The 15,954-nt window shown below is 38.5% G+C and overlaps 1 protein-coding gene across 7 annotated transcripts in view; it reads left to right on the forward strand.

The window, feature by feature from the left end:
- The window catches only part of RBL2 (RB transcriptional corepressor like 2), a 57,178-nt gene that overhangs the window by 32,419 nt on the left and 8,805 nt on the right, over window positions 1-15,954 (forward strand). For 5 of the 7 annotated variants that reach the window (NM_005611.4, NM_001323608.2, NM_001323611.1 and 2 more), the window contains 8 exons: window positions 169-280; window positions 3,027-3,296; window positions 3,494-3,774; window positions 3,857-4,033; window positions 12,265-12,336; window positions 12,997-13,102; window positions 13,678-13,880; window positions 14,782-14,946. In NM_005611.4, coding sequence (NP_005602.3) covers window positions 169-280; window positions 3,027-3,296; window positions 3,494-3,774; window positions 3,857-4,033; window positions 12,265-12,336; window positions 12,997-13,102; window positions 13,678-13,880; window positions 14,782-14,946 — 1,386 coding nt within the window. The remainder of the gene's footprint in view (window positions 1-168; window positions 281-3,026; window positions 3,297-3,493; window positions 3,775-3,856; window positions 4,034-12,264; window positions 12,337-12,996; window positions 13,103-13,677; window positions 13,881-14,781; window positions 14,947-15,954) is intronic. The other 2 variants (NM_001323610.2, NM_001323609.2) reach the window with 2 other exon arrangements.

Here is a 15,954-nt window from a genome sequence, read left to right on the forward strand (position 1 = left end):
GACTGCCAAAAGTTTTTTTTTTAACTTTATTATTAAAATGGGAAAGACAGCTGATTTTATTTAGATGGAATAATTGTTAAGATACTTTTTCTGCCTTAGATTACTATTGTATTTGTAATTAAAGTGCTTTTTTGGATACTGGCATTCTGTGTAACCAATTCTTCATAGGTCATGCCACCTCAGAACCTGGAAAGGGCAGATGAAATTTGCATTGCTGGCTCCCCTTTGACTCCCAGAAGGGTGACTGAAGTTCGTGCTGATACTGGAGGACTTGGAAGGAGTAAGTTTAAAATACTAGGAGAATATTTTGGGGCTTACTATCTGGAAATTTAAATTTCATCTAACCCTACAAGTGAAGTTAATAGGGTATACATAGAAGAAAATATTCTATGCATTTTTGTACCACATGGATCACTTAAAAGAAGGGCCTTTAAAGACTAAGAACACAGGAAAATGCATGATATAACAGGTATCTTTTAAAAAGGATAGACTGCTTTATTTATTTATTTATTTATTGAGACAGAGTCTTGCTCTGTCACTCAAGCTGGAGTGCAGTGGCCCAATCTCAGCTCACTGCAACCTCTGCCTGCCGGGTTCAAGCGATTCTCATGCCTCAGCCTCCTGAGTAGCTGGGACTACAGGCATGCGCCACCACGCCTAGCTAATTTTTGTATTTTTAGTAGAGAAGGGGTTTTGCCATATTGGCCAGGCTGGCCTTGAACTCCTGACCTCAAGTGATCCGCCTACCTCGTTCTCCCAAAGTGCTGGAATTACAGGCATGAGGCACCGTGCCCGGCTGACTGCTGTATATTTAATATGATCCCTATTTTTAAAGTGTATGTTTATTTATGAGCATACAAAATAGTGGAAATGGAAAAACCAAACTGTTAAGATCATTGTTGGGTGATAGAATTCCTGGTGATTTCTGTAAAATTTTTAAGGCAAATACATATTACTTTTAAAATCAGAAATAGAAAAGCCTTCTTAAAGATAGAGCTGCATGATCCAGTTAGGTATAGACAAGCCAGTGAGTTAAGACAACTGAGTATGTTCCACTTTGTTGAGCTGTGCTACCCTAGTTAATGTGACATTAGTGCTGGCCCAAGAAATACAGAAAAGGGCAGTTTTGCTATCTATCTGGTTTGTATTTTTTAGGCAGCTGCTTAGAAGATCTGCAAGGTGAAAGGTTTTAGTTTACATATGTGAGATAGAACTACTTTTTTAAAGAGCAATTCAGTAAATCCAGAGAGTTCTAAATCCTTGGATCCAATTAAAAGAATATTCTTATTTCTAGATCAGTTTTATAATGTAATTGATAAGAACTGGCTATAGAAGGAATACCAGTTTTAAAGTCAGGATTCACTCTAGGCTGGGCATGGTGGCTCATGCCTGTAATCCCAGCACTGTGGGAGACCTAGTGGGGAGGATCACTTGAGCCCCGGAGTTCAAGACCATCCTGGGCAACATAGCAAGATACCATCTCTACCCCCAACCCCCCCAAAAAAATCACTCTAAGTGTATACTTAATACACATGGATGATCCTTATGAAAAGTCCTCATTTTTGAAAGATCTGACAGCTGGTCTTTCTTAGTCTATTTTTGTAGAATTTTCCGTTCCCTAATCTACAGATTAGGAAGACTTGACTTTAAACTTCATTTTCTTTGTACTTACCACTTCTCAGTTTTCCTGAGATCTCTTGATATTTTATAAGAAAAAATGATCATAATCTATTCTTTCTGATTCTGCAGCTTTGTACCAAATACAAATCTAGTAAGTTTATTTACTTTTGTATCATCTGGAAATAGAAATGTTAAGCCACAGTTTGTTAGGATTTACTCCTATCAGTACTTCTTACAAACTTTCTATGTATATTTTAAATTTTAAAAACACTCTGATGCACAGCTCTTAGAAGTGGACACAGAAGAAGGAAGAAATGCTTCTCAAAAATTCAGACATTGGTGTGAATACTTAAAAATAGACTAAGCCATAATGGGTTGTGTACCACTGAATCATACACTTAAAAATGGTTGAATGGTAAATTTTATGTTATATATATAACCACAATTTTAAAAAACTAGCCTGTAATACCAGCATTTTGGGAGGCCAAGGCGGGTGGATCACCTGAGGTCAGGAGTTCGAGACCAGCCTGGCCAACATGGTGAGACCTCATCTCTACTAAAAATACAAAAATTAGCCATGCCTTGTGGCATATGCCTCTAATCCCAGTTACTTGGGAGGCTGAGGCACAAGAATCACTTAAACCCAGGAGGCAGAGGTTGTAGTGAGCCGAGATCAGGCTACTGCACTCCAGCCTGGGTGATAGAGTAAGACTCTGTCTCAAAAAATAAAAAAAATAGTAACAATTTGCCCCAAACCATTGAATTGTATAATTTAAGTAGATGAAATTTATGGTATATAAACTGTTTTAAAAAAATAAATTATGCTTAACTGAATCCAAATCATGCATGTCCACCTTGCTTAAGAACATTATTGAGTTTTAATAATTTTTTATATGTGGAAAAAGACAGAGATCAAAATTGATAAAACCGGTGGCGGAATGCTCCTAGATGACATACTACCAATCAGGTCCCCTTATCAAGTAGTGGCTCTGTAGTAAAATCACATCTTACATGAGTGGTAGGTAGAAAGTGGATATGATAGAAAATATTATAGAAAAATATAATATAGAAAAATAGGGTAATTCCTTAAATTGCCCCTAAATCATGAAGGTTCTTTAGTAGTGGAAGACAGAGTCAGGTCTGATTTGGGAAAGGGGGCGTGGAGAAAGGAACACTGCAAGACAAAAAATTCCGTTTTAAAATTTTGCTCTCAGTAGTGTTCACTGAACACGAATGAAAGTTCACTAATGAATATAGGTAAGATATGACTTCTGTAATTCTTGTTTGCTTTTTGAATTATGAAGTATTTCAAACACTGTAGTTATTTTTTAACATAAGAGCTTGGACGGAAGTCAGATCTGAGTCTCCTTGAGTTAAATGCTTTGTTTGATTTGTTTTGACCCTAGGCATAACATCTCCAACCACATTATACGATAGGTACAGCTCCCCACCAGCCAGCACTACCAGAAGGCGGCTATTTGTTGAGAATGATAGCCCCTCTGATGGAGGGACGCCTGGGCGCATGCCCCCACAGCCCCTAGTCAATGCTGTCCCTGTGCAGAATGTATCTGGGGAGACTGTTTCTGTCACACCAGTTCCTGGACAGACTTTGGTCACCATGGCAACCGCCACTGTCACAGCCAACAATGGGCAAACGGTAACCATTCCTGTGCAAGGTAAGGAAGGCAGAGTTGGATATTGAGTTCCTTCTCTGTGGCATGTATTGAAAAGTTACCCGAGGTTTGGCTAGAGTGACATAGGGGACAGAGGAGTGATGGGGAGAGAGGGTTTGGGAGAGCAGAAATTGTAAACCTCTGCCCGGAGAACCTCTTATTATCAACATTTTCTTCATGCTTTTTTTCTCTGTCACTAGGTATTGCCAATGAAAATGGAGGGATAACATTCTTCCCTGTCCAAGTCAATGTTGGGGGGCAGGCACAAGCTGTGACAGGCTCCATCCAGCCCCTCAGTGCTCAGGCCCTGGCTGGAAGTCTGAGCTCTCAACAGGTGACAGGAACAACTTTGCAAGTCCCTGGTCAAGTGGCCATTCAACAGATTTCCCCAGGTGGCCAACAGCAGAAGCAAGGCCAGTCTGTAACCAGCAGTAGTAATAGACCCAGGAAGACCAGCTCTTTATCGCTTTTCTTTAGAAAGGTAATTTTTCACATACCTTATCAGAGCATGAGCTTGGGAAATACAAGTGTTAAACAAAGTTTGAAATGTTTTTATCTCCTAGGTATACCATTTAGCAGCTGTCCGCCTTCGGGATCTCTGTGCCAAACTAGATATTTCAGATGAATTGAGGAAAAAAATCTGGACCTGCTTTGAATTCTCCATAATTCAGTGTCCTGAACTTATGATGGACAGACATCTGGACCAGTTATTAATGTGTGCCATTTATGTGATGGCAAAGGTGAGTACCATTTGGAATTGTAAAGGCAAAGATAGGTCTTCATTACTGAGAACATTTTTTAACCACTGTCTTGAGATACAGTTTACATGCTCTATAATTCACCTATTTAAAATGCACAACTAAATGGGTCTTAGTATATTCACAGATATGTGCAATACTCACCACAATTTTAGAACATAATATTCCATTGTATAGTTATATGAGAGTATTTTTATCCATTTATTAGCTAATGTATATTTTAGTTGTTTCTACTTTTGGCATATATGCATAATACCACTATTAGCATTTGTGTTTGGGTTTTTGTATAGACATGTATTTTCATTTCTCTAGGGTATATACCTAGGAATGGGCTGCTGGGTCATACATTAACTGTGTTTTAACTATTTAGGGAATTGCTAGATTGTTTTCCAAAGTACTGTACCATTTTACACTTACACAGCAGTATAATAAAGATTTTAGTTTCTCCACTATCTCATTAACACTTACTATCTTACTTTGTTTAAATAACTTATTGAGGAGAAATTCACATAACATAAAATTAATTGGGTTTTTCTTTTTTTTTTTGAGATGTTGTTTCATTCTTGTCACCCAGGCTGGAGTGCAGTGGTGCATCTCAGCTCACTGCAACCTCTGCCTCCCAGGTTCAAGCGATTCTCCTGTCGTAGCCTCCCGAGTAGCTGGGATTACAGCCATGTGCCACCATGCCTGGCTAATTTTTGCATTTTTAGTAGAGATGGGGTTTGACCATGTTGGCCAGGCAGGTCTCAAACTCCTGACCTCAGGTGATCTGCCCACCTCGGCCTCCCAAAGTGCTGGGATTACAGGCATGAGCCACTGGGCCCAGCCAAATTAACTATTTTAAGTTGAACAATTTAGGAGCATTTAGCACATTTACAGTACTAAGTGTAATAAATGGTTGTATACTCACCACCTCTGTCTAGTTCCAGAACATTTCCGTACCTGCAAAGTAAAACTCCTTTCCTATTAAGTAGTTTCTCCCCATTCTACCTCCCACAGCACCTGGCAACCAGCAGTTGGCATTCTGGCTGTATGGATTTATCTGTTCTTAATCGTTTATAGAAATGGTACAATATGTGACCTCTTGTGTATGGCTCCTTTTACTTAGGATAATATTTTCCAGGTTTACCCATGTTGCAGCATGTATCAGTACTTCATTCCTTTTTATGACTGAATGATATTCCATTGTATGGATAGGCACAATTTTTTTCTCCACTCATACACTGATGGATATTTGGGCTGTTTCCAACTGTTGGCTATAGTGAATAGCACTGTTGTGAACAGGTATATCATGTACCTGTTTGAGTGCCCATTTTCAGTCCTTTTGAGTTTATTCCTAGGAGTGGAACTGCAGGGTCATATGGTGATACTATGTTTAACTTTTTTGAAGAACCACCGTACCATTTTCCACAGAAGCTGCACCATTTGACATTGCTACCAGTAATGCACAAGAGTTCCAGTTTCTCCACATCCTTGCCAACTTATTATTTTTATTATAGCCATCTTAGCGGGTATTGGGTGATATATCATTGTGGTTTTGATTTTCATTTGCCTGATAACTAAGGATGTCAAGCATCTTTTCATGTGCTTACTGGCCATTTGCATATCTTATTTGGAGAAATATCTTTAAATCCTTTGCCCATTTTAAAATTATGTTATTATTGAGTTGTTGGAATTCTTTATTTTGGATACAACTACCTTCTCAGATGTATGATTTGCAAATATTTTCTCCCATTCGGTGTATCTTTTCACTTACTCGATAGTGTCATTTGAAGCATAAAAGTTTTTAATTTTGATGAAGTCCAGTTACCTGTTTTTTGGTTTGTTACTTGCACTTTGGGTGTCCTAAGAATCCATTACCAAACCCAAGGTCTTTTGATTTTTATAGTTTTATCTCATAGTTAGGTCTTTGATCAATTTTGAGTAATTTTTGTGTATGGTATGAGGTAGCAGTCCATTTCCATTCTGATTATGTGGTTGTGCAGTTGTCTCAGCACCATTGTTGAAAAGAAGATTTTTTTCCTCACTGAATGGCCTTGGTACCCTCCTTTAAAATCAATTGACCGTTGACAACATTTGGGTTTATTTCTGAACTCTAAATTCTATTCCACTGGACTATATGCCTATCCTTATGCAATACCATATTCTCTAGATTAGAGAGTTGCTTTCTTATAAGTTTTGAAATTGGGAAATATGAGTGCTCCTACTTTTTTTTTCTTTTCAAGATTATTTTCGAAGTCCCTTGAAAAATGAATTTTAGAATCAAATTATCAGTTTCACAAAGGAATAAGCTAGGATTCTGATAGGGTTGCACTGAATCTGTAGATCCATTTGGGGAGTATTGCCATCTTAACAATTTTATATCTTCTGATCCATGAACATAGGATGTTTTTCCATTTATTTAGATCTTCTGTTTTTTTTTCAACAATGCTTTGTACTTTTCAGAGTATGTTTGCAATTCTTTTGTTAAATTTATTCCTATTCTTGTTGATGCTATTCCAAGTGTAGTTGTTTCATTGTTAACGTGTTCATTGCAAGTGTATAGAAAAACACTTTTGTATATTGATCTAGTATCCAGCAACTTTGCAGAAGTTATTAGTTCTAATAGTTTTCTAGTAGATTCCTTAGGATTACTATGTAGGAAATCATGTAATCTGCTTATAATTTTACTTCTTGTCCAAACTGGATGCCTTTTATTTCTTTTTCTTTCCTAATTATCTTGCTAGAACTTCCAGTATAGTTGAACAGAACTGTCGAAAGCAGAAATCCTTGTCTTGATCTTAGGTGGAAAGCATCTAGTTTTTCACTATTAAAGTATGATAGTAGTTATGGTTTTTTTCATAGATGCCCTTTATCAGGTTGAGGAAGTTCCCTTCTTTTCTTAGTTCATTGAGTGTTTTTTTTATCATGAAAGGGCATTAGATTTTGTCAAATGCTTGTGTGTCCATTGAGATGATCGTGTGCTTATTTTTTTTATTCTATTAATATAGTATATTACACTGATTAATCTTCCTATGTTAAACCAGCCTTGCATTTCTGGTGTAAATCCCTCTCAGTCATGGTGTGTAAGTCTTATTTTTTTCTTTTTTTGAGACAGTGTCTCGCTCTGTTACCCAGGCTAGAGTGCAGTGGTGAGATCATAGCTCACTACAAGCAGTCCTCCCACCTTCATCTCCTGAGTAGCTGGGACTACAGGTACATGCTGCCATGCCTGGCTAATTTTTTAAATTTTTTGTAGACAGGGTCTACCTTGTTGCACAGGCTGGTCTCGAACTCCTAAGCTCAAGCAGTCCTCATGCCTCAGCCTCCCAATGTGTTGGGATTATAGGCGTGAGCCACTGCACCCGGCTGCTGTAATTCTTTTATTTATTTATTTATTTATTTATTTATTTTGAGATGGAATTTCGCTCTTGTTGCCCAGGCTGGAGTGCAGTGGCGAGATCTTGGCTCACCGCAACCTCCGCCTCCCAGGTTCAAGCAATTCTCCTGCCTCAGCCTCCCAAGTAGCTGGGATTACAGGCATGTGCCACCACCCCTGGCTAATTTTGTATTTTCAGTAGGGACGGGGTTTCTCCATATTGGTCAGGCTGGTCTCAAACTCCCAACCTCAGGTGATCCACCTGCCTCGGCCTCCCAAAGTGCTGGGATTATAGGCGTGAGCCACGGTGCCCAGCCTATAATTCTTTTTATATGTTGCTAGGTTTGGTTTGCCAACAGTTTGTTGAGGAATTTGTTTTCAGTTAAAAAAAATATTTATTTTTTCAAGTTTCCACATGCAGCAGTGATTGCTAAGGAATTTTATCCTTATGCATAAGAGGCATTGGTCTGTAGTTTTCTTGTTGTGGCTTTGTCTGGTTTTATTATCAGGGTAATAATGGTCTCATAGAATTGAGTAGGAAGTGTTCTCTTCTATATTTAGGTATTATATTTTTTCCTTTGCCTTTTTTTTTAATTTACAGCTGCCTGAAAGACCCATGGATATGAGCTTCTTGGTATTAATGTTTTAAAGTTTGGTAGAATTCAGCAGCGAAGCTGTTGAGACCAGAGATTTTCCTTGTGGGAAGTTTATTGGTGAATAATTCCGTCTCTTATTTGTTATAGGTCTATTCAGATCATCTGTTTCTTCTAGAATCAGTTGTGGTAGTGTATGTCTTTCTAAGAATTTGTCTGTTTCCTCTGGGCTAAATTGTTGGCAAATAATTATAATATTTCCTTCTGTTCTTTTTTATTCTTTAAGGTCAGTAGTAATGTCCTTTTCCTTTTATGATTGTAGTTTTCGTTTTGTTTTGTTTTTTGAGACAGTCTCACTCTGTTGTCCAGGCTGGAATACAGGGGCATGATCTTGGCTTACTGAAACCTTAGCCTCCTGGTTTCCAGTGATTCTTGTGCCTCAGCCTCCTGAGTAGTTGGGACTACAGGCCTGTGCCACCTCGCCCAGCTAGTTTTTGTATTTTTAGTAGAGATGGAATTTCCCCATGTTGCCCAGGCTGGTCTCAAACTCTTGGCCTCAAGCGATCCATCCACCTTGGCCTCCCAAAGTGCTGGGATTGCAGGCATGAGCCCCTGTGCCCTGCTTTTTGTAGTAGTTTGAGACTCCTCCCTTTTGTTCTTGGTCTAGCTAAAGGTTTGTCAATTTTCTTGATCTTTTTCTTTTAAAAACCAGCTTTTTGGTTTCATTTATCTATTTTTGTGTTCTTTATTCATTAGTATATAATCTTATTTCCTTCTTTCTGCTTACTTGAGGCTTACTTTTTGCCCTTTTCTGTTGTTTTAAGATGGTTTAAGATGGATGTTTAGGTAATTAATTTACTATTTCTCTTAATATCTTTTTTCCCCAAATCCTTTACGTAGATATCAGTATCTTTTAAAAGATACCTTTCTAATATTTCAATATCTTTTTTTTTTTTTTTTTTTTTTTTTTTTGAGACAGCATCTTGCTCTGTCGCCTAGGCTGGAGTGTAGTGCTCACGGCAGCCTTCCTCCAGGGCTTAAGTGATCCTCTTCCCTAAGCTTCCTGAGTAGCTGGGACCACAGCCGTGCACCACCATGCCCTGCTAATTTTTTGTAGATACGAGATTTTGCTGTGTTACCCAGGCTGGTCTCGAACTCCTGAGCTCAAGCAATCCTCCCTCCTCAGCCTCCCAAAGTGCTGGGATTACAGGTGTGAGCCACCGCCCTTGGCCCTTCTTCATTTTCAGTGTAAGCATTAACAACTCTAAATTTTCCTCCGTGCACTGCTTTAGCTGCATGAGTGTTGGTATGGTGTGTCTTCATTTCAAAAGTATTTTCTGATTTCTTTTTTTGGCTTCTGTTTGACTCACTGGTTATGTAGCAATATGTTGTTAACTTCGTATTTGTAAGTTTCCCAAATTTGTTACTGATTTCTACTTTCATTGTGATTGAAAACACACTTCATTTTATTCCAGTTCTTTTAAATATATTAAGAATTGTTTTATAGCCTAGCATATATGCTCTATCCTAATGAATTTCAAAGTACATTTGAGAACAGTGTGTATTCTGTGGAGGTTGGGGAGAGTGTTCTGTAGATGTCTGTTAGGTCTAATTGTTTTATATTGTTAGTAAAGTGTTTTGTTTCCTTGTTGATCTGCCTAGATCATCTCTCCATTCTTGAAAGTGAGGTACTGAAATCTATAAATATTATTGCTGAATTGTCTACTTTTCCCTTCACTTCTGTCACTTTTCGCTTCAGGTATTTTTTGTGCTCAGTTATTAGGTATGTGTATAACTGTTATAGATTCCTGATGGCTTGATCCTTTTATCATTATGGAATGTCCCTTTTTAATAACTTTTTTTGTCCTGAAGTCTGATTTATAGTGTGAGATATATAGTCACCCAGCTTTCTTATGGTTGCTGTCTGTATACCTCTTTCCATCCTTTCATTTTCGAATGTATTTGTATTTTTTAAATCTAAAATGTCTCCTGTAGATAAAATACATTTGGATTTCTTTTGCCTTTTGACTATGTATATAATTGGATTTACATCTGCCATTTTACTTTTTGTTTTCATGTCTTTCCCTTTGCCTTTGCAGCTTTGCTTTTGCATTAGGTCAATATTTTCTAAAGTAGCATTTTAACGTCAGTACTTTGGTTTCATTTTGTGTGTGTGTGTGTGTGTGTGTGTAGTGGTTGCCCTAGGGCTTACCATATATCTCTTATCAAAAATCAGCTTCAGATTATACTGACTTAATTCCAGTGAGATATAGGAGTGTTAACTGTTTCGTTACACATATTACATCCATAAATGTACAACTCCACCAGTACATTGTTATAATTATTGATACAATTTTATGACTTCTAAAGTAGCAGAAAGGAAAGGAGTGTAAGTATGTATTTAAAACTTTTGCTCTAGTAACCTTATTAATAATTTCTGGTTTCCTTTCTTTCTTTCTTTTTTAAGACTGAGTCTTGCTCTGTCGCCCAGACTAGAGAGCAGCGGTGCAATCTCAACTCACTGTAACCTCTGCCTCCCGGGCTCAAATGATCCTTCTGCCTCAGCCTCCCATGTAGCTGGGCCTACAGGGTGCAGGCATGTGCCACCATGCCCGGCTGATTTTTGTATTTTTTTGTAGAGACGGGGTTTTGCCATGTTGCCCAGGCTGGTGTCGAACTCCTGGCCTCAAGCAGTTCACTTGCCTCAGCCTCACAAAATGTTGGGATTACAGGAGTAGCCACTACACCCAGCCTATTTCTATTTCTCTTATTCATTCCTGTGTATGTGAGTTGCCATCTGGAGTAATTTCCTTTGCTCAATATGGCTTTGCTCCTGCCTACCTCCTTTGTACTGTTGTAGGCAAATATGTTACATTTTTGTATGTTATGGGTACATTATATATATATATTATTTATACAATTGATTTTTTAATCAGTTAAGAAAGGAGAAGAAATGTGCAGTTATACTGTATTTACGATTACATAATTATCTTTACCAGTGCTCTTGGCTTTCTTCATGTGTAGTGTTGTCCAGGGGCATTTGCTTTTGGCTTCTAGAATTTTGTGTAGTATTTCTTGTAAGGGGTTTGCTAGCACCAAATTCTGTTTTTGTTTATCTGAGAGTATATTTATTTTACCTTCATTTCTGAAAGATAACTTGCAAAAATTTTGAATATTGACATTTCAGAGATAAAAATCTTGAGTAACTTTTTAATACTGGATTCTTAGTTTAATATTTTTTCTTTCATCACTTTGAATGTTATCCCACTGCCTCCTGGCCTCTGTAGTTTCTGATTAGAAGTCAAATTTTATTTTATTGGGGTTTCCCTGTAACTGAAAAGTTGTTTTTCTCTTGATGCTTTTAATATTTTCTTTCTTTGGCTTTGAACATTTTTACTGTGATATATCTGGGTACGGATGAGTTTATCCTACCTGGAAGTCACTGAATGTCCTGGATATGTAATTTAATAAATTTGGGAAGTTTTCAGTATTTCTTTGAACATTTTTTTCTGCTTCTTTCTCTCCTCTCCTGATTCTCCCATTACACGTATGTTGATTTCCTTAATGGTGTGCCACATTTCTCTGAGGCTGTTTTTCTTCATTCTTTCTCTGTTCCTCAGATCACACAATCTCTTTCTTCATGTTTGCTAATCCTTTTTTTTTTTTTTTTGCTAGTTCAAATCTGTTTTCCCTAGCTTCTAGTGAATTTTTCATTTCATTTACTGTACTTTTCTACTCCAAGTCTTTTTTTGAGAGAGAGTCTTGCTCTGTCACCCAGGCTGTACAGTGGCTCAATCTCAGCTCACTGCAACCTCCATCTCCCAGGTTCAAGTGATTCTCCTGCCTCAGCCTCCCCAGTAGCTGGGATTACAGGCATGTGCCACCATGCCCGGCTAATTTTTGTATTTTTAGTAGATACTGGGTTTCACCATGATGGCCAGGCTGGTCTTGAACTCGTGACTTCAAGTGATCCACCCTCCTCAGCCTCCCAAAGTGCTGGGATTACAGGTGTGAACCACCGCACCTGGCCTCTAAGTCTTGATTCACATACTATAGACTCCTATTGTTTTTATTGAATTTTAATAGATATTCTTGAATCGATGTATCTTCATTTGCTATATGCCGTTAATACCATTTCCAGAGACTTTAAATAGCTTTTATATAATTTTCACCCCTTTTACTGGGCAGCAGGTTCACAGAGCTCCTCACACTATTATGGTGGTAGTTGCCATGTCTCTCAGAGCACTCTTATTGTTTGCCAGGTCACAAAAGAAGATAAGTCCTTCCAGAACATTATGCGTTGTTATAGGACTCAGCCGCAGGCCCGGAGCCAGGTAACTACATTTTCTCTATGGGCTGAAAAATAAAGCTTAAAGTCTGTGATGAATACAAAAAATTAACCATAGTTGACTCTGTGGCCTTTTTTCCAAGATAAACACCTGGGACTCTACTTAAGGGAAGTTTCTACTTTAATCTTTATTCTTGATGTCACATGTTGATTAAGGTCTCTTTTCCTCAAAAGGCAACAATGTTAAATATTTGATTGCCTTCTTAATTCAGAAAAATCACAAGATAGGAATTAAGAAGTTACTTGGTTTCTATGTCACCTTTCATTCTGGTTTAGTAAACATACTGTAGGTTTAACCAACAGAATGTCACATGGAAATTTAAAACCCACTTTGCCTTTATTACCATTCATCTCTGAGAGGCAAATCGGCCAGATCTGTGTATCTTACTTAGAATGACTTGACATTATGGTTGGGTGCTGTCACTGCAGTGTAGTACTGCAGGTAGTACTTGGCATGTGATGCTAGATGGGCTCTGATTGAATCCTGGATCTGTTATAATTTGAGTTATGTTTCTCAACCTGTTCTGAGGACAACTATTGCTATACAGGTTATTGTGAAAACCAAGTAACATATGTGAAGGTCCTATCACCAAGGGTGTGCTCAACAAATACTAGTTTATGTCCCCTTCTCATTGTTTCTCTAAAGGTGTATAGAAGTGTTTTGATAAAAGGGAAAAGAAAAAGAAGAAATTCTGGCAGCAGTGATAGCAGAAGCCATCAGAATTCTCCAACAGAACTAAACAAAGATAGAAGTAAGTGGGATCTTTGTGAACTACAAGACAAAATTAGGAGCTTTTCTTACTTTTTAGGCCTTGAAGAAGTAACTAAGCATTACTAAATGAAATAACTATAGAAACTATGAAAGTGTTTTATAGATCAGTAAACCATATTCTAGCTGGCAAAACTGTCCATTACATAGCTTTGGGGCACATATTATGTAACATTTTTCTCCAGGAGAATTAGAGCTTTCAGGGAGGAATCTGCTTGCCTGAGTTCCAGAAAGGTCTGATATGTCAATTGGAACCATGCTATGGAAATACCATCCCCTGCCTGTTGCTTTGTACCACTTAGTACAGGGCTTAGGTCCTAGAAAATTTGGTGTAACTTATTAATGGACACTACTCAGAAAGCCCTTGCTATGGTTATGGCATAGGGAGAAAGTTAATATCCTAGCTGAGCTTTGCTTTTTGGTGTGAAGAACAGAGTGCCTATTCACTGTTATTAGCAAGTAGTGCAGGTAGCTGTTCCCTTTCTCCTACTTTTAAAAAATTAAAACAGTCAATATTAGCAGCCTTTGTACTGACAGCCTTTGTTCTCCTGGCTGCAGCCAGTAGAGACTCCAGTCCAGTTATGAGGTCAAGCAGCACCTTGCCAGTTCCACAGCCCAGCAGTGCTCCTCCCACACCTACTCGCCTCACAGGTGCCAACAGTGACATGGAAGAAGAGGAGAGGGGAGACCTCATTCAGTTCTACAACAACATCTACATCAAACAGATTAAGACATTTGCCATGAAGTACTCACAGGCAAATGTAAGTATGACAGGGATTATTTCATACTTTTTTCACTCATGAGTGTTGAGGAATCATTTATGATTTATATATGGACCATTCACCTGGTCCGTATATAAACTAGTTTTGGCCAGGTGTGGTGGCTCACACCTGTAATCCCAGCACTTTGGGAGGCCGAGGAGGGCAGATCACTTGAGGTCAGGAGTTCAAGACCAGCCTGGCCAACGTGGTAAAACCCAGTCTCTACTAAAAATACAAAAATGAGCTGGGCGTGGTGGCACACACTTGTAATCCCAGCTACTCTGGGGGCTGAGGCAGGAGAATTGTTTGAACATGGGAGGCGGTGGTTGCAGTGACCTGAGATTGTGCCACTGCACTCCAGCTTGGGTGACAGAACAAGACTCTGTCTCATAAATAAGCTAGTTTTACAAATAATTCTATTAAGTAAAACTGAGGAGGTCTGTAATTTACCTAACCAATATAAATTCTACTGTTGTTAAGCATTAAACGAGTAAGATTGTATTTGGAGTCCCTACAAAGTATAGTAGTACAAGAGACAGGCTACATGGGTTCAAATTTTCCAGTACTTAACAGTGGTGGTAACCTTGCAAATCATTAAATTTTCTCTGTACCTCATTTCCTCATATATAAAATGGGAATATAACTAGTTCCTAGCATATGGGGTTGTTGTAAGGATGAAATGACATAATGTATAAAAATTGCTTAAAATAATAACTGGCACAAACTAAGCACTTAAGGTTTGCTATTAGAATATTTTTCTTTAGGTTAAGTTATTGCTAATACATCACTCTGTCATTCATAAAACTACTGGTTTAGCACACCTCTTCACTCAATAATCATTTTCAGTAAAAATAATTATAAATTTTTTTCTTAGAATTACTGATTTTTTTTTTTTAAACAGATGGATGCTCCTCCACTCTCTCCCTATCCATTTGTAAGAACAGGCTCCCCTCGCCGAATACAGTTGTCTCAAAATCATCCTGTCTACATTTCCCCACATAAAAATGAAACAATGCTTTCTCCTCGAGAAAAGATTTTCTATTACTTCAGCAACAGTCCTTCAAAGGTGAGCCTAACATCAATCTTGGCCTTTACTAACCTCAAAATGCTTCAGATGCTAGAAACAGGGTTTGTGCTAAGCTTAGGCACTCATTAGAGTGATGAGAGCTGCCAGGGAGCAGTGATCAGTCAGTCCTCATGAAGCAAAACCCAGGGTTTGTTTTGTTTTTTGCCTTTTTTGAGGGGGAGGGGGTGGAATTTTAGGGTGGGAAACAGGGTAAGGGATTTGGATTTCTTTTTATTCCCTCTCCTATTTGTACATTTTGCTGTAAACCTGAAATTTGTGTTTATCCCATTTGTAACAATTTTCCACATTTGTTAGGGAAAGAAATTTTGGATTCCTTACCAAAGGCCTGTTTCTGGGACAGGCAGTGTCCTCAGGACTCTGGCTAATGGGAGAAGTTGACATTTTTGACATTGCAGTGCAATAGTCATATTAGCACAGATGTATGTGGCAACAGCCACCTCATTCTAAGAAGGGGAAGGAAGCTTGAGTCAGGCCTTAATGTTGAAAAGTCAGGGAGCTGTTGAGGTATGGAAGGGCACTCAGCAGGAAGCAGGTTAAGGGGAAGAAAACAGTGTCCTTGAGGCAGACAGTGATCCAAAGCTTAATTACGGGCATCATGCTATGTTAGCGAGTGGAACTGGATTGTGAAGGCCCTTACATAATGAGATTTTTATTGATAAAGGTTGCTTAGAGGCTGGGCGTTGTGGCTCACACCTGTAATCCCAACACTTTGGGAGGCCACAGTGGGCAGATCACCTGAGGTCAGGAGTTCAAGACCAGCCTAGTCAACAGGGTGAAACCTCATCTCTATTAAAAATACAAAAATTAGCTGGGTGTGGTGGCATGCACCTGTAATCCCAGCTACTCGGGAGGCTAAGGCAGGAAAATAGCTTGAACCCAGGAGGTGGAGGTTGCAGTGAGCAGAGATCGCGCCATTGCACTCCAGCCTGGGTGACAAAAGCGAAACTCACTGTCTCAAAAAAAAAAAAAAAAACGGTTGCTTAGAAA

The sequence above is a fragment of the Homo sapiens genome, chromosome 16, assembly GCF_000001405.40.
Source record: "Homo sapiens chromosome 16, GRCh38.p14 Primary Assembly".
NCBI lineage: Eukaryota > Metazoa > Chordata > Mammalia > Primates > Hominidae > Homo > Homo sapiens.